At 41.2% G+C, this 22696-nt stretch overlaps 1 long non-coding RNA gene across 4 annotated transcripts in view; it reads right to left on the bottom strand.

Annotated features, from left to right (window-relative positions):
- Positions 1-1218: 1218 nt before the first annotated feature.
- The window catches only part of PANTR1 (POU3F3 adjacent non-coding transcript 1), a 47759-nt gene continuing 26281 nt past the window's right edge, over positions 1219-22696 (bottom strand). For 2 of the 4 annotated variants that reach the window (NR_131233.1, NR_131235.1), the window contains exons 2-4: positions 8503-8578; positions 8227-8412; positions 3366-3637 (exon numbers count right to left, since the gene is read on the bottom strand). This is a non-coding gene — a long non-coding RNA (POU3F3 adjacent non-coding transcript 1). Of the gene's footprint in view, positions 3638-8226; positions 8413-8502; positions 8607-22696 lie in introns of all 4 variants that reach the window. The other 2 variants (NR_037883.1, NR_131234.1) reach the window with 2 other exon arrangements.

Consider the following 22696-nt stretch of genomic DNA (forward strand, 5'->3'; position numbering starts at 1 on the left):
TGTAACAAATTACCAGTAACTTGGTGGTTAAAAACAATAGAAATGTATTATCTTATGGTTCTGGAGGCTAGAAGTGTGAAATCAGTATCACTGGGCTCACAGCAAGGCATTGGCGGGGGGTGTGCTCCCTCCAGAGGCTCTAGGGGAGAATTCCTTCCTTGCCTACTCTGGCCTCTGGTGGCTGTGGCTTGGCTTATGACCACATCACTCAGATCTCTGTCTCCTTGATCACACTACCCTCTCCTCTTCTGTGTATGAAACCTGCCTTTGCGTCCTTCTTGCAAGGACATTTGTGTTGGGCTGCATGCACCATTCACCCAGAAAACTCAGGGTAATTTTGCATCTCAAGATCCTAAATGGCATCTGCAAAGTCTTTGCCATATAAGGTAACATTCACAGGTTCCAGGGATTAGGATGTGGATATTTCTTTGGGAGCCAATGTTTAGCTTACCACAGCCTCAGGTGATGGAGCAGTCAGCTACATGTCATTTGATGACAGCTACGTGTCATCACATACATCAATAATACACCCTTGTATTTGCTCCTTGCATTTCAGCCGCACTACCTTTTCTTCCAAACTCCTACTACTCTGGGATGAAACTCTCCACGAAAGAGGCAGCACGTGAGATTTTCCTCAAGCTCTACTTTCTGGGAAACCCAGGGTAATATACTTAAGCCATTAAGAACACTGCACACAGTAATGATAGTCACAGTAATAGTGGTAATACAGTATAGTTTTCAAAGAGGTTTAACTTTCTTCCACAGTATTGCTTAATCATTAAAAAACAGACTTACACACTGAGAGAATGGAGGCCTTCTATTGCAGTGGAATTTTACACTTTGTTGAAAAATCTATTTCCCCTCTACAAAATATTGCCAACATGGTGACAATTTTTTCAGTAGAATACCTGCTAAATGAATAGAATTAGAAAAAGAAGTGTATTCCACAGCAAATGGAAGAAAATTCACTCTGTTAGAGGAAAGTTAAATAAATTAATGTTGACAACTTCCTTACTGACAAAATGTCTTATCTGTAGCAACATTAAGTCCTTCTATGAATATGCCTTTTGTATGATGAAACAAATTATGTTCCTTAAAACAGCAGTGTCCTGGGTCCTAGGAATATCTGAGAAGTAGCATACTGCATGGATGAATCACAGAATTGATACTATCACCTCCAAATTCAGTCGGCAAGGCTGTGACTGCCTTTTGTGGGGGAAACGAGGAGAGTAAAGCAGAACTTTCTACTGCACCTCTCAGAGGTCTTTGCAGGTGACAACTGTATAATGGAAGATTCTGGAAGGTTTTTTTTCATTAGGCAGCTTCATTGGCACCTTTGTTTTAGAGAATCATATGACTTTTAGGTTCACCAATAAATCTGATGAGAACAAGTGATATGGTTTAGCTATGTCCCTACCATAGCCCATTGTAGCTCCCATAATCCCCACGTTTCATAGGAGGGACACATGGTGGGAGGCAACTGAATCATGGGAGCAGTTACTCTCATGCTGTTCTCATGATAGTGAGTGAGTTCTCATGAGATCTGATGGTTTTATAAGGGGCTTTTCCAGCCTTTGCTTAGCACTTTTCTCTCCTGCCACCATGTGAAGAAGGACATGCCTGCTTCACTTTCCACCATGATTGTGAGTTTCCTGAGGTCTCCCCAGCCATGCAGAACTGTGAGTCAATTAAAACTCTTTTCTTTATAAATTACTAAGTCTCGAGTATCTCTTCATAGCAGCGTAAGAACGAACTCATACAACAAGTATCCAGTGACACTGAATGAAAGGAAAATATTGGCAAACTTCCCCTACTAAAAGGGCAAATATCAAAATCAGAAACTTTTAAGTACTTCTCTTACTATGACAAGGCAAATCCAATATTTTGGTGGAAGCTGCTTCCTCTAGGCATCATCTCATCTCAAAAATTACAAGACACATAATTGAATAAATATAATCTGAATGAAGAGCTGTATTGAACAGCATGGTAAAATAAGCCTATATCTGGCACACCCATGTTTAATATATGTCACTTAGCTGGGTAATTCATATTTGAAATTTCTTTGATATGGATTCACTTGGACTTTATGTACAAAATCTTAGCTTTCGCATCTCCCAAGCCTGGATCATTTTCATCTTTTAGTTGCTGGTACAATCTGCTATCAACATTTCAGTATCGCTCATTCTCTTTCCTTTCATGGTATGTGCACTCAAGAGACATGCATATGCACACAATGTAAAACAAGATGTCAGGCAACATTTTGTAGAGCAATAGGATTACTCTCCCTCTCCAAGTTCATATACTTTCTCTTTCTCCATAGCACAAATAAAAGCCAACTCCTTGGACAGCACAGAATAAAACAGAAGAAGAATCTATGGACTTCTGGAGGATTCCAGCCACAGGAGTCTAAGAACAAAACAACTGAAGAGTTACAACTCATCTTTAAACAGTCATCACTCCCTGGAAAATTTCAGCTCTTTTTCTAGCTCATACAGGGCTCTTAAATTATGTTAAATAGCAGATGAATGAGTGAACCAATGAACTAAAGGACTGAACATTTCCAAAACTATAGAAAGACACATGATGTAAAGAAGCATTATGGTATACCGGAAAGAGTAGTGACTTAAAGCCAGGAGAAGTAACTGCCAGCTGTTCTACTGGCTTACTATATGATCTTGGGCATGCTACCTAAATCTCATTTCCTCGCATGCCAAATAGGGATGATAATTTATTCTAAAGTTTTATAGATAGCATCTATACCACAAATATAGTACCTATATGGTTTAGAAAACAATTGGATTCACATTCTCTCACTTGATCCTCCCAACCACCAAATGGTGGGAAAGGATGTTCATCATTTGTCCTGGAAGCAGAAGTCCACAATGTTGACCATAATGCCTTGATGTAGTTAATAAAGGTGCACTCCAAGCTAGGAGTTCCAGATATGTGTACACCTTCTTCTCCAGAGAGCAGGCAGAGAAAAAGATGGCTATAATCAGTGATTTACCCCGAGACAATGGCAGAATCTTATCTCTAACCATGACTTCTTACCTTAAATCATTCTTGCTGCTTGCCATCCATATACCTGCTCTGAATACTCATAAAATTAACTCACAGCCAAAGGCCCTGAGCATTTCTTCAAATTAGTACTACATAAAAATACCTACAAATTTATTTATCAGTATGGAGTAGGTATCGAGTAAATGAACAATGAACTGGATGGAGAACATCAGGAATTGGCAAACTTTTCCCGTCAAGAGCCAGAGAGTAAATATCTTAGGCTTTGTCGGCCATATGGTCTCTTCCACAACTGCTCCATGTTGTGGCGCGAAAGCAGCCATAGATAATACAGAAACAAATAAGTGTGTCTGTGAGCCAATAAAACTTTATTTACAAAAGCAGGCGACAAGTCAGACCTAGCCTGATTGGGCCTTGTTTTCCAACCCTTAGACTGCATCCACTTTGAGAAAAGTCTTGTCAAAAGCATCATTTTAGCGCTTTCTTTTAGAGGCAGGGTCCTGACAACTCTTGATTAACACACACATCCAGGCACTTTGTCTCTCTTCCTCCGTTGTCCTTTGATAAACACCAACTGGCAGAGGGGACATGGAGCATTTTTCCTTCAATTGCAGTGATTCTGAAAGACAAAGCCGGGGCAGAGATTAAAACCAGACCCGAGGTCTTTGTGCCATGCTCGGCATATCAAGTGCCCCTCTTCAAATTGTACTGAGCTAGCGGTATACCTTAATAAAGAAAATAGAGCTATTCTTTCACTTAATAGTCTTTTAGTGAGGGTATGGGGGCCAGGTTTACGAAAGCCCTTATAAAATACTGGCTGAAAGGAAATAATGCTCCTTGGCACCACAGAATCTTTTTCATGTGAAGCTACATGATCACTTTTCATTTTGTTTCTCAAGCACTCCATGGCACCCATCCATGTATTAGGCTAATAACTGCATGAATCTAGTTAAAAGGAGCCAAGCAATTATTTTAATTAGAAGAGAACAAAAATAATGCTCCTGGCTTCTGTTTTAAGGGGCAAGAAGGAAGTAGTCAGGGTTCAAAAAGATCCCACAAAATATTTTTGTGAAAGGAAAAATAATTAAGGCCAAATTTAGAATGTACTTGCAATAAATGGGCCAAATAAAATGAATGGCATCACTGTGCAGCTAGAACCCATTCATAGATAAGAGCCCCAGAAAGTCCGTTTCTACGTGATACCATTTTGAGGGTATAGCCAATTTTACAAAGTGAAAGTGAATGTCTAGCAGAGATTTAATGATCCTTGTGAATCTCTCACATGATTTCCTAAAGAGAGTCTGTGTAAACTCTTTTATTAATAAGAGACAGGGGAAGGATATTGGTCAATTTGCTTTTGGGGCAGGATTTTTTTTCATTTACATTCTTAAATTGCTCAAATTTGTTTCTCTGGAAAAATCTATCTTCACAGCAAATCCTTGTTGCTAATCCATTCTATAAAAAGCGGATTCCACCATAAGAGGATTTTAATCAGCTAGACTGAACTCAGTTGTACAGGAAGAGATTGTATCTACAGATCTTCCTGAGCCTTTGCCTTCCTGCCTCCTTCCTGCCTCCCTTCTGGTCATGGCATTTTGACCATTTTATTCCATCTCAGGCTTCCATAAAGAAATGAAATGAAACTCAAAATAGTCAACTAGTCACCATTCTTCCTTCTGTTTGGATCTATCATTGTTTATTGTGCACCTGTTATCTACCAGCAAACAGGAAGTTATGGTTGTACATAGGTAACTAAAGCCCAGACCTTGCCTGCAAAGAGCTTACGGTCCAGTCTGACAGACAGACACATGGGCAGAAAGGAGAGCCAAGCAGCCCAGCTGGGTGGAGGGCAAGGTTACCTAGCCTGAGCTGGCTGTTAAAGAATGGATTATCCAGAAGGATATGGATAGTCTATTCCAGGGAGAAAGGTCAGCACAGGCAAATGCACAGGCACAGAGAACCACAGGGAGCACACATAGTTGGAACCAGAAGATAGAGCTGCAGGAATGTAAAGCCAAAGACTAGAGTGAGACAGGAGAGCAGACTGAAGAGGTGAGCAAGAGCCAGGTGCTATGGTCTGAATGCTGGTATCCTTCCAAAACTCACGTTGGAACCAAATACCTGACAGGATCGTATTAAGAGGTAGGGCCTTTGGGAAGTGATTCAGTCATGGGGGCTCCACCATAATGAGTAGGACTGGTGCCCTTATAAAAGAAGATCCAGGGGGCTTCCTTGCCCCTTCCACCATGTAAGAATGCAGCAACAAGGTGCCATCTATGAAGCCCTACCAGACACCAAATCTGCTGACGCCTGGATCTTGGACTCCCCATCCTCCAGAACTACCAGCGATATATTTCTATTGTTTATAAATTACTCAGTCTAAGATATTTTGTTAAGCAACCTGAATGGACTAAGACATCAGATCATGCAAGAACCTGCACCACATTGATAAACCTGGACTTCATCTTGCAGAGCAATACAGAAATCACCTGGTTTTCAGCAAAGGACTAATGTGGTTAGCTTTCTATTTCAGAGTCAGCATCTGCATGGCTGAGAAGAAGATAAATGGAGAATAGTATCCCATAGACGCCATTGCCCAGGCAAGAGGTGACAAGGCCTTGAACTGGGACAATACTAAGTAGGAAAAGAGAGCTGGGATGAGGAATGATATGCATGCTACTACAGGATATTTTAAAAATAAAAATTAAAAAGTCTTTGGAGCAGTGACAGATAAGGTCAAAAGTCAGAGATTAAATTGGCCTAGAAGATTCTTGGCAGGGATCAGATATTTTATCTGAACACTTGTCATATGTCCAAAAAGGTTTCTCAACTGATGAGCCTTGATTATGGGTTCCAGGATTGAGATGCAGTAACAAATTTCAGCCTTGGGCACATGAACATACTGCTGAGTGCCATATGGAAACTCCTAGAAGATAGTCTAATTCCTATTTACTTTCCCATGCAAAACTCACACAAAACCAGCTTCCTGCTAAAAATCTAAGTTAAAATACACAGAAACATAGAAAGACAGAAAACTGTAGTGAGTCCTTCTCAGGATAAACTACATATATGTTTAATTACTATGTGATATTAGACTCATTTATGTTTTAATTTCTAAAAGACTATATACTTCTCAACTTGTTTTATGAGCCAGTGGAACGTTGATAACACATTTGAGAAAGACATTACAATAAAAGAAAGTTACAGGTAAATTTCACTCATAAACATTTCTATAAAAATTATTTTTGAAAATATGACCAAAGTACATGCAGCAATATGTAAGACAAATATTCCATCACACCCAAGTTGAGTTTAATCCAGAAATGCAAGATTGGTTTAACATTCAAAAACCCATTGAATAACTCACCATGCTAACAGAATAATGGAAAAAAGTAATATGATAATTCTATAAAGAAGTGGGTGCTTAATTTATGACAAAAGTGTCCCTGCAGAGCATTGGAGAAAGGAAGTCTTTTCCATTCATCATGAAGGGTAAGTAGATATCATGGAGTAAAGAACCAAACTTGATCCCAACCTCACACCACATACAAAAATCAATGCCATGTGGATTGTAGATCCAATTGTGAAAGGTGAAACAACACAACTTACAAAAGATAATATGAAAGGATATTATTATGGCCTTGAAATAAGCAAAGCTCTCCTAAATAGGACACAGAAAGCATTAACCACAAAGGGAAATAGACTATATTAACAGTAACATTAAAATCAGCTGGGCACAGTGACTCATGCTTGTAATCCTAGCACTTTGGGAGGCTGAGTTAGGAGGATCACTTGAGTCCAGGAGCTCAAAACCAGCCTGGGCAAGATGGCAAAACCCTGTATCTACAACAACAACAACAGAAATACAAAAATTAGATAGGCATGGTGGCACATGCCTGTAGTCCCAGCTACTAAGAAGGCTGAGGTGAGAGAATCACTTGAGCCCTGGGGGTTGAGGCTGCAATGAGCCATGATCAAGCCACTGCACTCCAGCCTGAGCAACAGTGCAAGACTCCTATCTCAAAAAGCAAAACAAAACAAAAGAAAAAGTTAATATTTTCTATTCATCCAAAGGCACCACAAAGAGAATGAAAAGTCAAGCTCAGGGTGGTACATATTTTTAACATATATAACCAAAAAGCTATATGCAGAATATATATCTCCTACAAATCAATAAGATGAAAAGTCCAATAGAAAAATGGACTTAATAAGACCACTTACAAAAGGGAATATCCAAATAGCCACTATACATGAAAAAGATGCTCAGTGTACTAATAATCCAAGAAAATGGAATTAAAACCACAATGAGACTCTATACATACCACCAGAATGACCAAAATCAAGAAGACTGAGAATGCCAAGTGCTAGCAGGGATGTAGAGCATCACCCACTGCTGGTAAGAGTGGAGACTGACACAATCTCTTTGGAAAACTGTTTGGCATTATTTATTAAAGTTGAGCATAGTCATGTTCTACAATTTGGTAACTTCCCCTTTAGTCTATATATAGACTAAACATAATGCATATACACAAGCATCAAAGACATGCACAAGAAAGTTTCCAGCTGCACTCTCTGAAAGTAGCCTAAAACTCAAAACAATTCAAATGTTCATCAAGGGGAAAATGGATAAACTACCGGGCATGGTGGTGCACTCCTGTAATCCTAGCACTTTGGGAGGCCAAAGCGGGCAGATCACTTGAGTCCAGGAGTTTGAAACCAGCCTGGGCAACATGGCGAAACCCTGTCTCTACAAAAAAAAAAAAAAAAAAAATACAAAAATACAAAAATTAGCCGGGCATGGTGGCATGGGCCTGTAGTCCCAGCTACTCTGGGTCCGAGGATCACTTGAGCCCAGGAGGTCAAGGCTACAGTGAGCCAAGATCATGCCACTGCACTCCAGCCTAGGTGACAGAGGGAGTCCCTGTCTCAAAAAAAAAAAAAAATGATAAATTGTGCTATATTACTGATACAAGGATACAAGGGAAGAAAATATAACAAAGAAAACATACTATTAGTATACCCAACTACATAGACACAAAAATAATGTTGAGAGAATGAAGACAGACAAAAGAACACCTATCCATGTTTAATGTTCTTATCACAATAAAGATGAAATTTAAAAAAGAATACCTACCATATGATTCCATTTACATGAAGTTCAAAAAAGCAAAACAAATGTATGGTGTCAGAAGTCAGGCCAGTGGTTACCTTTGAGGGAAAGGGGCCTTCAGGAGCATTGTTCACATTCTCCGTCTTGTCCTGGGAGGCAGTTAGAGGATGTGGTCACTCCAGAATAATTTATTGAGTCACATACTTCTGCTATTTGCAGTTTTCCATATGTGGAACCCCAATAAAGCTTCCATTTAAAAGTTTCAAATGTTGATTTCCATTTTCCTTGAAATAAATAAAGGGAATAAGAAAATATTATAGAATATCTTCATTAAAATCAATCAATTTTAATTTGCTAACCAAGCTGGCTCTTACCTGTGTTCACGTTGCTCCCCTGATGTCAGCTACAGAGCAGGAAACAGGAAAAACCACGCATATGATTTTCAGGCAGCTGGAGGAAGAGGAAGAGAATGCCTTCCCTGTGAGGGAGAATGAATGAAACTGGGACCCTCTGCAATTTAGCTAAGAGGTGAGTAATGCATAGAGAGGAAAAAGAAAAAAAGAGAGATAGAGAGCTGAAGGTCCAATGTATAAAATAATGACAAAAATAACGGGCCTGCTGGAGGCTCATATATTTCTAGCCTTATATAAAATGGGATTAAAACGTAACAAATTTAGACTGGCTACAAGAAATGCTTTTTTATGAAATGTATAATTAACCTGTAGCCAATGGTTTAGTAAAATCCAACTCCTCCCATCCTCCAAAAAAAATAGCTATTTATAGCAGCCAAACCAACAACATTGACAAGTATTGTATTACAAAGACTCCCCTGCTTCCAGGCAAAAACTGATCACCAGCTGGGGTCAGGAAGAAAATTTTCCCTTTGGTGTAGTATTTCATGGCTCTGTTATCTAATATTGAACAACTCTCCCGGGCTGAGTAGCATTTGCACCTCCATTCACGGCACCTGGCTCTGGGGTCCAGGATGGAATATTGAAATAGGCTATTGTTTTAATCCCCGGATGGCAACACCTGTATGCCTGTATTTAGGCAACACTTTGTGTTTCCAAAAAGAAAACACAATGAATATCATCAAAATTGTTCCTAACACTACTGTTTTTATATCAACAATCTATAAATATATGGAAGAACTCAATATATGTGAGAAATAAACAGAAGGCATGCCTACATTGAGGTAATTCAAAAGATGGCTCTATAATTTACCAGCTTGAATTTCAGTTGTTGCATTTTTAGGTATGAAACGTTATGAAAAAAAGAGATATTATTCATCAAAGTGATTGTCCTGTGCACTTGTATACCTTATATAATTTATTTTTTTCGGGGCTTTTTACTTCAAAGAAATCACTAGCTAATGACATTTCAGACTTTAGAAATTTTTTCTGATAGCACATTGGAATTCCCCCAGGGACAGAATTGTGAATAAGTGGATTTTTTTAAAGATCATTAACAGATATTACAAACCAATTCAAACTGAGCATTTTCTTTGCAAATTACCTTTAACTTTTAAAGCCAATGGAAAAAAAAAAAAAAGACAGTGAGTGATTTAATTTACTTAACCTGTCTACAAATTGCAGCTTTGCGCTCCATCGGCGATTGCATTTTCAACCAAAAAAAAAAAAAAAAAAAAGCAAAAAAGAAAAAAGGTCTCTAACTATCTCTAATAGAGATATTTTTCTAAATTATCATCCCCGATGAGTGATGTTTATTTTTTTTTTTCATTTAGGAAGTTGCCCTGGAATTGAGAATGTTTATTCTATTGCTATGTTTAAAGTAAAAACACAGCCCTACACTGTCTATATCTGTTGCTTAATTAAAACTCTCCAGCAATTAGCAGGTTTATCATCTCCAGAGCAAATGGGTGGTGGTGGTGGAGCTTTGGTGGTGGATTGTGAGTTTTTTGAGGGGAGGGGAGTGCTCTTTTATTTAATGATCAAACCACAGTTTCTGGGCTAAAGAGCTAATATTTGGGGTGAGAAGCACCTTTATTCCTTGCATACATCAGGCCTGATTCTTATTGGCATCAACACCCCGTTGTGTATGTTTTCCATTCAAAGAGTTCCCATGGACTTCAAAGGGAGTTGCCTGCAAAGATGGGATATGTGGGAGTCCTGACAGGCCCCAGAACAGGCCCAGAGCTGGAAGAAACCATGCCAAGAGTACCTCACATTGGAGCCCCCCCAAAAACCATGTCACAAAATTAAAGGGTCTCCCCTGCCTATGCCATCCCACAGCACACGTGGGAAACATCCTCAGGCTTGCCAAGCGCTGCTCTGACTCTGCAGGGTACTAACATATACATATTTGATGAGTAGAGCTCCATTTATAAGAAAGTATGTTAATAAGAATATTCTTTGAGAATGGTGTCCAGTGCAGACTTCAAAAGGGTCATTGTTTGAGGTACCAGAGGTTTCCTTTTTCCCCTTTTAAAGTGCAAAGTCAACTTACTATACACCAAACAAAATAATTGCACATCCCTTTGGATGTCCCATCAACAACAAATGGGTAGGAGTCTATTCTGAAGAATGTTCTATTTTTGGAGTGATTAATTGAATTATTAAGAGTAAAGGGGCAGAGAAACTAATATTTCTTGAGTGTTTCTTATGTGCCAGGTATTTTAATTCCTCTCTTTTAATCCTCACCAATATATTATGAGGTAGATGGTATTATCCCCCATTTAAAAGGTGATAAAAATAGGCTTTAGTGAGATCATGAAAACTATCCACTCCAAAGTCCCATGACAGCAAGTGAAAAGCATGTGGAACCCAGCCCTCCCCATCTCCAAATCCCATGTTTGTCTCTTTACATCACACTAACTCCTCATTGTCTGCTGATTTCAAATGTCAAGTTCACATCTTACGGCAACTGTCATTTTTCTAAATGGCTGGAACTCACAGACTGTGGGTTCTTTCCATTCAAGCTCAGACAAGAGTTACTGTATTCCAAATGCTGATGATTAAGTTGCAAAAGCATCGTTTTGCTCCAAAGAATTACCAGTGGAATCCTGTCAGGAAACATAGAATGGAAGCTGGTTGAAGATCTACACTAGCTATTCTGAATGTCACACGTGTCCCCAAATGCTGACACACCTAAATGAGTCTCACATCATAAGCGGTGATCCTAGTGATCACAGTAGACTCCCTTGGAAACAGGTCTAAGGGGGAGGCTGGGCCAGGGCTTCAGGATGGCAGAGGACCAAGATGTTCATTGGTAGACAGGTAGCATATCCAGAATCATTACAACCACATATATTTAAGTGTAGGGACGGGGGAGACAGCCAGAACTTCCATTGATCTTTTTGGTCCCTGCCCCAACCACAGGACTTCGGAGTCCTAATGAAGTTTAGGATGTGGACACCCAGTGGGCACAGAGTGGGATTAGAGAGGTGGAGTCTCCCATTCACCTGATGAGCAGACACCAACCAAGGGCTTGACCTGTGTGGAAGTGGTAAGAGGAGTGGGGATGGTCTGTCAGGGCCACCCCTAAGCTCCTTCCTGCTCACCACAGACTCCTCCAGCAAAGGCCTCTGAGGCCACAGGTAGAAGCCCAAGCAATTCTGAATGTGGCCACCATTTGCCTTGGGCTCACAGAAAGCTCACCAGAACACAGGCACATGTTCCAGAGACCTTGCCAAGTCTTTTCCATTCTCCCAGGCTCCGCATCCTTATTTTCAAAGTGGAGACAATATGAATACCTGCTCAGTCTAGTGTGTCTGGTGATGACAAAGGGGACGGATTGGTTCGTGAAAGCACTTCATGAGGTCCAGGCAGTGGGAGGGCATCTCAAGCTGCTTCCCTCTAGCTGCAGGCACGTGGCTAAACACCAGACCCCATTCTCCCCACTGTAGCTTGGTCTTGCAGTGAAAACAAATCTAAATGGAAGTGACTTTTTATATAATAGAAATTGAAACCAAAGTTTAAAAATAAAATAAAATGGAATGTTTCTGAGCATGCAACATCCATCTACTGTATTTGTTTTTTGCTCATTCAGCACATTTGTATTAGGCGCTGAGTGGAGGCAGAGGCACTCCATCACTGGATTTCTGAGCACACTACTTAGCCTTTGCACTTGGGAGAAAGTCCAACTCCTGAACAGGAAGCCATCCTCTCACACCGCACCCTAACCCAGCAGCCCAGCTCATGGCTCTGCAGATGAACAGGACACGCATCCCGCTATTCACTGTCAGCCTCTCTGCTTCATCCTCGACTTGCCTGAAATGTCCTGTGCTCAGAAAGACCTGTCAGAGAGCACCTCCGGTCCAAAGCGGTCCTAGCCCTGATCTTCACCCTCATGCCTAGTGGGTTTCCTGCGGAGCCATCATTGCCACGCGTGGCGATACTCTGTTGGTCTGGGATCTCCTGTACCATCTGTCTCCCCAGCTTGACTGTGACCTTCAGAAGAGCAGAGGTCACCTCAGCCTTGTTTCTGCACTTCAAGCCCCGGCACAGTGCCTGGCCCATGAAGGACACAGGAAACAGGGTTTTGCCTCAAAGCAGCTCACCTAATATAAAGCAACACAAAACCCCACGCAGTCAGGGCTTTGTTTCACCTGCTGCAATGGCAGCCCTTGAACTGAAGGAGAAGAAAAGTTTTTCTCTCCTCTACCAAGCTCAAATTCTTTTTTTTTTTTTTTTTTAAGACAGAGTCTCACTCTGTCACCCAGACTGGAGTGCAGTGGCGCGATCTTGGCTCATTGCAACCTCTGCCTCCTGGGTTCAAATGATTCTCCTGCCTCAGCCTCCAAAGGAGCTGGGATTACAGGCACAAACCGCCAAGCTCAGCTGATTTTTGTATTTTTAGTAGAGGTAGGGTTTCGCCATGTTGGCCAGGCTGGTCTCAAACTCCTGACCTCAGGTGATCCATCGGCCTCAGCCTCCCAAAGTGCTGGGATTACAGGCGTGAGCCACTGCGCCTGGTCCCAAGCTCAAATTATTTCCCCTGCAATTAATCTGTGCCTCCTCCCTGCGAGGTGGCCACCCTCACCTGATCTGGCAGGAAGACCTGTGTTTGCTCCCAGCCCACAGAAATGTCCCACCCGTTGGTCAGGGTCCTTCCTGTCAAGGAGGTACGGCTTCCCCTTGTCACCTAAGTGTCCCCTTATCTAAATGTAAGATGGTGATAAGCCTGGTGCCATGAGAGGTGACTGTCAGGTGGTCCCCCTAGGACTCCCCTGCCAGAGTTAGCCTGAGCTCCAGTGACGGCCCAGAAATTTAGCTCCCATTACCTCATGAATTCCCCACCCTGTGTGCTGCAGAGTGGATGATGGCAAGCAACACTCACAGCATAGTTTATATTCGTTTAATTTTTCTTTATTTTCAAACTAGAGAATATGTACTTACTGTAACAAGCAAAACAATACTTAAAAAGGTGAATAAAAGCAAATATAATTATTTCTTCCTATCCCACTTCATTACCACTATCTCAAGAACACCAAGGGCATGCATGCATATGCCTATATCCATGTATAATATATAAAGAATAAGCCAGGCACGGTGGCTCATGCCTGCAATCCCAGCACTTTGGGAGGCCAAGGCGGGCGGATCACCTGAAGTCAGGAGTTTGAGACCATCCTGGCCAACATGGTGAAACCCTGTCTCTACTAAAAATATAAAAATTAGCCGGGCGTGGTGGTGCACGTGCCTGTAATCCCAGCTACTCCGGAGGCTGAGAAGGAAAATCGCTTGAATCTGGGAGGCAGAGGTTGCAGTGAGTTGAGATCATGCCCTTGCACTCCAGCCTGGGTGACAGAGCGAGACTCCACCTCAAAAAAAATTAAAAAGTAAAATAAAATATATCTCTAATATATAGCATATATATTATATATACTACACATACCTTATATATCATTTTACATAAGTGGGATCATATACATGCTGGGGGAATTTTAGTGCCGTATTTTGTCTTTATGTAATTATCTATTTTGCATGCCTTTTGCAGGTGTGGTTCCTCCAGGGACTCATTGGAAAGCGCGGACGTCCTGTGGCCATGGGATCACACCTGTCTTCAGTGGCACTGTTTCCCTGTTTGTTCTTGAACACGCCTGCTGCCTTGGTTACACTGGCCTACTGGTGAGTCTTCAGAGAAGTGGCACTGCTGTTTTTTTCTTTTCTCCGTTGGTGGTTTTGGGACATCTGAGATGTCGCCTACTCCCACTCAGTCTCTTTTATTTTCTGCAGTTCCTCTGGCCTGTCTTGTTCCCTGCTCTTTCTAATTGGCTCTCATTTCCAGCTGCCAGCCCCTGCATTGCTTCTGACCTTGTCTATTTCCAGAGACCTTCCCAAAGTCACAAATCTCTTGACAAAAGGCTCCTTTCCCTTTCTGTATAGAAGCCTCTCCCTATCCCTCCTCAAACAAATCTTACCCAAGCCTTCACCCAGTACTCAGCTCATTTGTCAGTAGAGACCATTCTTCCTGACCCTTCCCCTACCAGGTCACACATTTGATCAATACATTTGTGTATTGCTTTGTAGATTTCAAACACATTCAAATAGATTACTTCAAAAAATTCTTACAACAGCCCTATGAAACAGAAAGGGGTAAGTATATTGCCTCCCCAAATATATAGGTCTTAAAGGACATTAACTGACAATTTGCAAAGAAGACATTAAAATGACCAGACTTCTTAAAAACTCAGTTTCACTATTAGTGAAAGAAATACAAAGTATAAGAACACTGATATACTTTTTGCCTATGAAATTAGCAAATGTTTAAAAGAATGATAATACTCACTGTTCGGCAAAGGAGGATAGTGGTGGTACACTAGATTTTTGCAAATAGGAGTGAAAATTTGTGGTACCTCTTTGATTAATACCTTGCCAACACATATTAAATTAGAAAACCATGGAGCCAGGCAATTCCTCTTATAGAAATTTATCCCAAGGAAATAAACAAAGCTATGTAGAACATTTTAGCTACAAGTATATTTTAATATGCAACTGATTAAGTTGAAGTCCAGTGATGCAATGAAATGCTCTAAAAAATGTTTTAATGATAACGTGGAAGAATATATAATATGTAAAGTATTTTGATATAATGAATAAAAACATTATACAATGATACATACTGTCAAGAGTTCCATATATATATGACAGATATATATAGATATATATATATATGTATCTATATTAAGCACTCCAAAACAGCAAGGACGGTTATCTCTAAGAGATGGTGTTACAGGTGATTTTTATTTTCTAAATTTTGTTCTTCTCTACTTTCTAAATTATTTTCAATAATCACGCATGCTTTTGTAAAAAGAAAAACAAGAAAATTGTAATATTAAAAAAATTATCCTTGTTTAAATGGAACCAGTTCTACATTTGGTTCTTTAATCCACTCACTCATTCATTCAACAAATATTTTTTTAACTCCCACTATACACAAAGCACTCTGCTAGATGAAAGGGATATAGTAATCAAAATTTTAAAAAAATTTTACAAAAAGAACTGGTGTCTGCCCTGGAGAAGGGGTTCTTGGTAACTGGGAGAAAGCCAGTGGAGCTCATTAGACATTACTGTTCCCTAAATGCAAGAAATGGGCTCAGAGGACATCAGTGCATCCAGTCATGCTTGAGTGAGACTTGGCATTGGAACTGGACCTGAAAAAGTGGTTTCTGAGAGAGGGCTGGGAGTGGAAAATGGAGAGAGTACATGAGAACGAGAATCACCCTCACTCTGAGTGCTCCCAGCTACTGGGTCTCCTGGCGGCTTGAGACAAATGGTTGGAGTGGCCTGGCAATGGCAGAAATGGTCCCATGGGTTGCATAACTTCAGATGTTAATCAGAAGGCCCAAAATGATTCCTATTTTAGATAAGTGACTAGCGAAAATTCAACAAAATTCTACTAAAGTGTCCCTCTGAGTCTGCATTTTGAATAAGCATTCAGCCTCCTACTGTTATTAGTTGGCACTCCCCTTTAACTGGTAGGATTGGAACCTCCCACACACGTCAATCAATTTTCCCAGCAAGGAAGCCACCCCCAGGAAGTGTGGCACTTGGCACAGTCTGCAAGAAGTCCTTACAGCCTCTAGGGTACCATTTTGTTACCCCATAGGATCGTTGTCATATTCCAAATTAACTCAAGTCATCTGCTTTGAGTTGTTTTTTCCATAAATGGTGAAAAATTTTGTTGATTCTTTCCCAAAAGGCCATTTGTGACCAGTGGCCATTTGGAGACCTGACTGGGGCTTGGAGGACCACAATGAATGAAGCAGCCCTCTTGGGGACTGAACCCATGACCTCATTAGCACAAGGTTCTAATCAACAGAGCCACCAGGCACATACCTCATTTAAGACACTGAGGCAGTAATTTGCTAAATGTTAATTCTTAGATTAACTACAGATGAGTAGAGTTCCTAGGGGGAAAAAATGAGAGAGATTTGTTCATTCTTGAAAGGAAATTTAGGTCATCAGTTTTTGATCCCTTTGGTTAGTTTTATGGTATAGTTCCAGAATCCTAAGATGATGTCCATCAGGGTCTATGCCCCATGATTTTTTTTAAATCAATATCTTGGTCAGGAGACTTTCAAAGAAAATGCAAATCGTGTCACTTCTGCACTCTTAAAACACCACACGACGATTTTCGATAGATACCTCTACAGTTTCTATTTCTCATGCACAACACAGGTGGCAAAATAAAGAAATGAGATTCATATCTGAGTCAGAGATGGTCCTCCCAGAGCAGGAAGGGCTGGACCCCATTACCACCACCCCTCAAAATCCTAAGTCCTGTGGATGAAAGGTCCCCCTCCATGGGGAAGGGGAGCCCCAACCTCCAGACCTTTCTCAAGGCATGCAGGAACCCAACCCACTCGCCTTCTTACCTTATCCCCCAGGCAGTCCCTGAGAAGCCAGTTTTACAAACAGCAAATATGGTTTGGAACAAAGTTTTGACACTGACTTGGTATCTTGTGCTCATATTACGTTTGTATGAATATTCCACCGACTTTTCAACTCCAAAGAAAAGTTTCCGCTCCAAGGCTACATTCAACATTCAGACTATTTCAACTTCAGTTGCTCCCACCCCAACAGCGATCTTTGAAACTGATATGGCCCTGAAAGAAGCCAGAATAACTTTGTAAAAATGTTAATAATAATGGGCTAGGTTCCCAGTCTTTGTAATCTTGTGGAAGGACCTCTGTGAGAAAGCACCCTGAGAACTGAATTGAGTGTGTGCCCACACTAGCTTTTCCATGGAAAGCCTGCTTGAAACACATGGTTGTTTTGCAGGAGCATTTCTACCAAGTGGAGCAGAATGGGAATGTAGCCTTGCATTTGTCACCTTTCATCCCAGGAGCTTTAAGACCACAGTGAAATACCCAGGCTGCTGCCTGTTGATGGAGAGGTCCCCTACATTTGGCGGCAAGACCCAGCCACACATGTCAGGAGTATGCCATTCTGCCACTGCTGGTTAGGGTCCTATGGGAAAGCTAGGTATCCTCTCTGAGCTGTCAATTTCCTCACCTGCAAAACGATGGCAATTGTAGTTACTACAAAATAGGGTTGCTGTCTCCACACAAAATAACGGACATGAAATCCTTTAGCTTATTGCCTGGAACACAGCACTTACAAAGCACTCATTAAAACTTAACTATTTCTGTTGCTACTTTCTGCCTCCTGAGAAAAACATAGCCATCTCAGTGTAATGGGTTGCATTCCAAATATCCCTTTCTTTATAAATCCAAAATGAAAATTAAATAGGTACCACAAAGAATTTTCTAACCGTAAGCTGAACACAAGCAAGCTTTAATAGTATGCGCTGATAGGAGTAGCTAAGAGGGAACAACCTAAAATGAAAATAGATAGCTAGCCCTCATTTCTAAATAATGCCTTTAAAAATGTTTTCTTATGAAATGCATTGTAAAATGGCATAAGGAACTTTCCAAACTCGCATGACCAAAATATATGATCTTAAAATCACAATGCTCTACAACACAACAAAATTTTAGCCAACCTAGATTCGCAGGAATTTCAAATTCTGAATGGATGTAAAAAAAATCTCCACTAATTCAAATAATCAAACCAAGTACATTTTTATCTAAAAATACAATCTGAGGCAACTCCATTTTATAACCAAGAAACACTCATAGCATTTAGTAAGCTACAATGTTGCAACTTCTATTCAAGTTGAAGTTGACAGTTAGGAGCTAGATAAATAGAAACTAAACTTCTGAATAGTTATCTATCTTGTAGTTACGGGCTCAATTACTTCAATCTCCAGCGGGGACAGCTATTAGTTCGATAAAATAAATATTTTTAATTTCCTCTATGCATTTCCTCAAACCATGCCAATGCACTTATCTATGGCTCACTTAAAGAGTTTGGTTAAGCGGCCTCCACTTACTTAAAAGACAATGTTTGATTTTCCTATGAAATGGAGAAATGGACGTGAGTGCTCGTTGTTTTAATGCACTGAGCCCTTAATCACTTCCAGTTCTGATTCATCAGAAAAGTTGTCCTCTTGAGGGTTTGGGGGGCTTTTTTGGTCACTAAATATTGTCTTCCATTTTGAGATATTTATTCCTTGCCAGAAAATGATACTGTATTTTCCCCTAATGATGAAGGATGAAAGATGGAGCAAATTCCATTTGGTGATTATTGAACCACAGAGAAGTAAACTGACTCAGAAAACAAATCCCCAAAAGAAAAATAAATGTATTATGTGAGGTAGGAGCATGGGATTCTTGGCAAATATTCAATTGGAGCCAGGATTGGTAATTTAATAGCATCCTTGTCTCATTAATATTTGAAGGGGGAAGGGTAAAGCTCTCGGGCTTTTAGCCATGAGCCAGAATCTCCCTATTCTTCACCTCTCCACCGCTACCCCAGCCTGCATGGATGTTAAAGATGCAAATGCCTGGGATGCCTTGCTAAGAGTTGTTAAAAATGCACAGGCCATAAGCAGGGGTCCAAGACGCCATCGCTCCTCACATAAGCCAAAGGAAATAACACAACCTTAACTTCTGCAGCTCAATGGGCAACGCGAATAACCTACAAGCCTACTCTGAACACTGTTCCCAGAGGCCTGGAGCATCAGACCCAAATCAGAGCAGGCAGAGGAGTTCATGAAGTGACATCTCCCAAAGACGATTCTGCCAAATCATGCCAATTTGGTAAATGCGTCACTCTACTTTCAACTGGTCCTTCTAGCTTCCCCTTGCTGATTGGCAGAGTTTGGCAGGGAAAAAAAAAAAAAAGCCCTTCCTTTGGAAATCCTGGCCACATCTGTGCACTAGAAAGGGACACCCCCAAGTGGTATAGATAGGAAAGGGCTTAGAAGTCAGTGCTGTAGTAACACACAGCCCCTTTCTAGGACTGCATGTTATGAAGTGTAGCATTTTTGAGCTTTGGTTCTCTTTCAAGTTAAAGGAGGAGAGAAGGATATTGAAAAACGAAAAAGATGCTGGGCGCGGTGGCTCACGCCTGTAATCCCTGCACTTTGGGAGGCTGAGGTGGGCGGAACATGAGGTCAGGAGTTCTAGAGCAGCCTGTCCAATACGGTGAAACCCTGTCTCTACTAAAAATACAAAAAAAAAAAAATTAGCCGGGTGTGGTAGCACAAGCCTGTAGTCCCAGCTACTCGGGAGGCTGAGGCAGAAGAATCACTTGAAACCTGGGAGGTGGAGGTTGCAGTGAGATGAGATCATGCCACTGCACTCCAGCCTGGGCAACAGAGCAAGACTCCGTCTCAAAAAATAAAACAAAGATGAAAAAGACAAAGAAGGAGAAAGACAAGTTTAGTCCAAACCCAGTCCCCAAGACAGCTCCGAATTGCCAATTTTCTGCCATAAACCTTTTTAATTCTTGGATTATGAAATGTGTAGAAAAAACAAATTTAATTGCTAACAATCTTACCTAATTTTATGGTCTCCATGGGTGTCTGAAAAGAAACATTATATGGGTCACACAACTGTGTGATAGATGGTGGTATTAGTGGTGATGGTGATGGTGATGGTGATGGTGGCAGTAGTGGGGGTAGCAGTGACAGTGGTGATATGCTGGTAGTGGTGGTGATTGTGGTGGTGGTGCTGGTGGTGGTGGTGGTGGTGATGGTGGTAGTGGTGGTGGTGGTGGTGGTGGTGGTAGTGATGGTGGTGATGGTGGTGGTGGTGGTGGTGGTGATGGTGGTGGTGGTGGTGGTGGTGGTAGTGATGGTGGTGATGGTGGTGGTGGTGACGGTGGTGGTGATGATCATGGTGGTGACACTGACAATGATGGTGGTGGCAATGGTAGTGGTGATGTTGGTGGTGGTGATGGGGATAATGGTGGTGATGGCAGTCATGGTGGTGATGGTTGTGATGGTGACAGTGGTGGTGATGGTGAAGGTGATGATGATGTTGATGGTGGTGGTGATGTTGGTAATGATGGTGATGGTAACGGCGATTGCACTCAAATCCCAAAATATGAATTAAAGACTTTAACTGGTATGTTAGATACTTGAGAAATCTACTCTACCTGTCTTCTCTAAGTCTCAATTCCTATCCCTCAAATGTTGATTAATCTGATTACAATGATATTGTTCTTTGATTAAAACCTGAAAGCACATTTGAAAGAAAGTAAAAGAAGTGAAGTTAAAGCAACTGCTTGAGGGATGGATGTATTTCTCTCCATGGATGAGTTTTTAATTCTTTATTATTATTTTCATCACAGTCCTTGTCACAGAAAGGATTTCAAAGTATCAATAGTCCTTTAGGTTGCTGTATTATAAAATTCCAAGGATATAGGAATTTCAATTCATGGAGACTATTGTGAATCTAGGTGACAACACTTTTTTCTACCAATGTAGAAATGTCTGGGGCAGAAAAATTCACACTTGCAGCATTAATTATTATAAACACAGAGAAACCCCTTCCCTGTGCAGTTATGTCTAACAGATGATGGGACATAGGACAGCTTCCCAACTGCTTTGCATTAGGCTTGGTCAAGTGACTTTCTTTGGCCAATAAAATGTGAGTAGAAGGGACAGGTGTCACTGCTGGACAGAGGCTTTAGGAGCCAGGGTGAGCCTCACCATGTTGCCTTCCTCCTGTTATGATCAATGTGGAAGCAGGTGGAGAGGGGGCCTCTATCACCCTATGTTTCTAAGTGTCTATGACAGGCAAACCCCCTCCCAACCCATAATGGACATGCAGTGAGAGCAAAAAATAAACTCCTGTTGTTTTAAGCCACTGCGATTTGGGTGGTTCTTTTCTACCACATCATAACCTACCCTATCCTAATAGATACAGATGGCAAAGAGCCAAAACAAGTAAGTTTGAAGTCAACTGTGGTCACACTGGGGAAAAAGGAATCTACGTATCTCCCCTAATAAACCAAACCCTCAAGGCTTCTTGTTACCCAATCACAAATTCCAAGACATTTAATCGTTCTGCAGTGAAGGTCAATTCTGGACAAAAAGTGCCTAGGAAAAAGGTATTCCATGACCTGCAAGGAACTGAAAGTCACTCACCCACACAAGCTCTGCAATGATTTGGAGATCTCTTTTGGCCAAGTTCTATTTCAGACAATAAACCACCTTCTTACCATTATCCAGGCAGACAGCACAGATCTCCTTATCATTTTCAGAACTGTTCATTTCAAAGCTGCACTGCTGAAGGTATAAGCCTCCTTAAAGAACTCTACTTTTAAGAAAACCAAATCTCATAAAAGTTAGTATATTTCCACATTCAAAGTGGGGCAGCAAATGTGAAAAGCCCATCTGTGCCCACCCTCCCCTCCACCCCACAAACTCTACCACCACCCAGAGCTGTAGCTGGGCATGAAAAATCTAACACATGCAAAGTACAGAGGCTCTTTGAAAATTTGGCCCAGTGTGTCTTATATGTGAGTTGCAGCCTTACAGAGTCTTGCCAAAAACAACAAAGAGGAAAGAAAAGGAAAGGTTTTCTTTTCTCCGGACTTGGGAATGAAACATAAAACTCCTCTTTTCTGCAAGGCTGAATGGCTCCAATTTTCCACACTCAGGATGAGCTCTTACTGGCCATTACCTTCATAATATCCCAGTGGCTTTTTAGTGGGCATTTCTGTCCTCCCAAATGAATGGCGTGGCAGTAGTGGCCCAAAGAGGTGCCCCAGCTCCCTACTGAGAAGCTGTGGCCCTCACACATCCTCAGGGTTGTTGTGAAGATAAAATGAAATGGATGATATGAGTGTGCTTTAAGTGTTACGTTCATGGTATTATTTCTACCATTCCTTGCTTCTGCTGCATCTACTGTGTCTACTGGGTCTAACTTGTACAGTTTTAGCTTTTCTGGGGTCTCTACCCAGGTAAGAACATAGAGGATTAACAGTCACTGGCTCTAAGTGCAAAATTCCATAAAACCCTATGAGGTGAGCACTAGTGAGTCCAGGAATGCAGAGAGGTGCAGAGAATTAAGTGGTTTACCCAGGGTGACACAAACAGTGGTAAGTGGAGAGCCCCTGTTTGATCACTGTCTGAGTGCCCAGAGACACACACGATGCCAACACACACGATGCCAACCTCCCATCTAAGCAGTCTTACTGCTCCCAGACATGTGTGTTCCAAAAAGAATGGCTGTGAAGGTGCCACCTGTTT

The sequence above is a fragment of the Homo sapiens genome, chromosome 2 (genome assembly GCF_000001405.40).
Source record: "Homo sapiens chromosome 2, GRCh38.p14 Primary Assembly".
In the NCBI taxonomy this organism is placed as follows: Eukaryota; Metazoa; Chordata; class Mammalia; order Primates; family Hominidae; genus Homo; species Homo sapiens.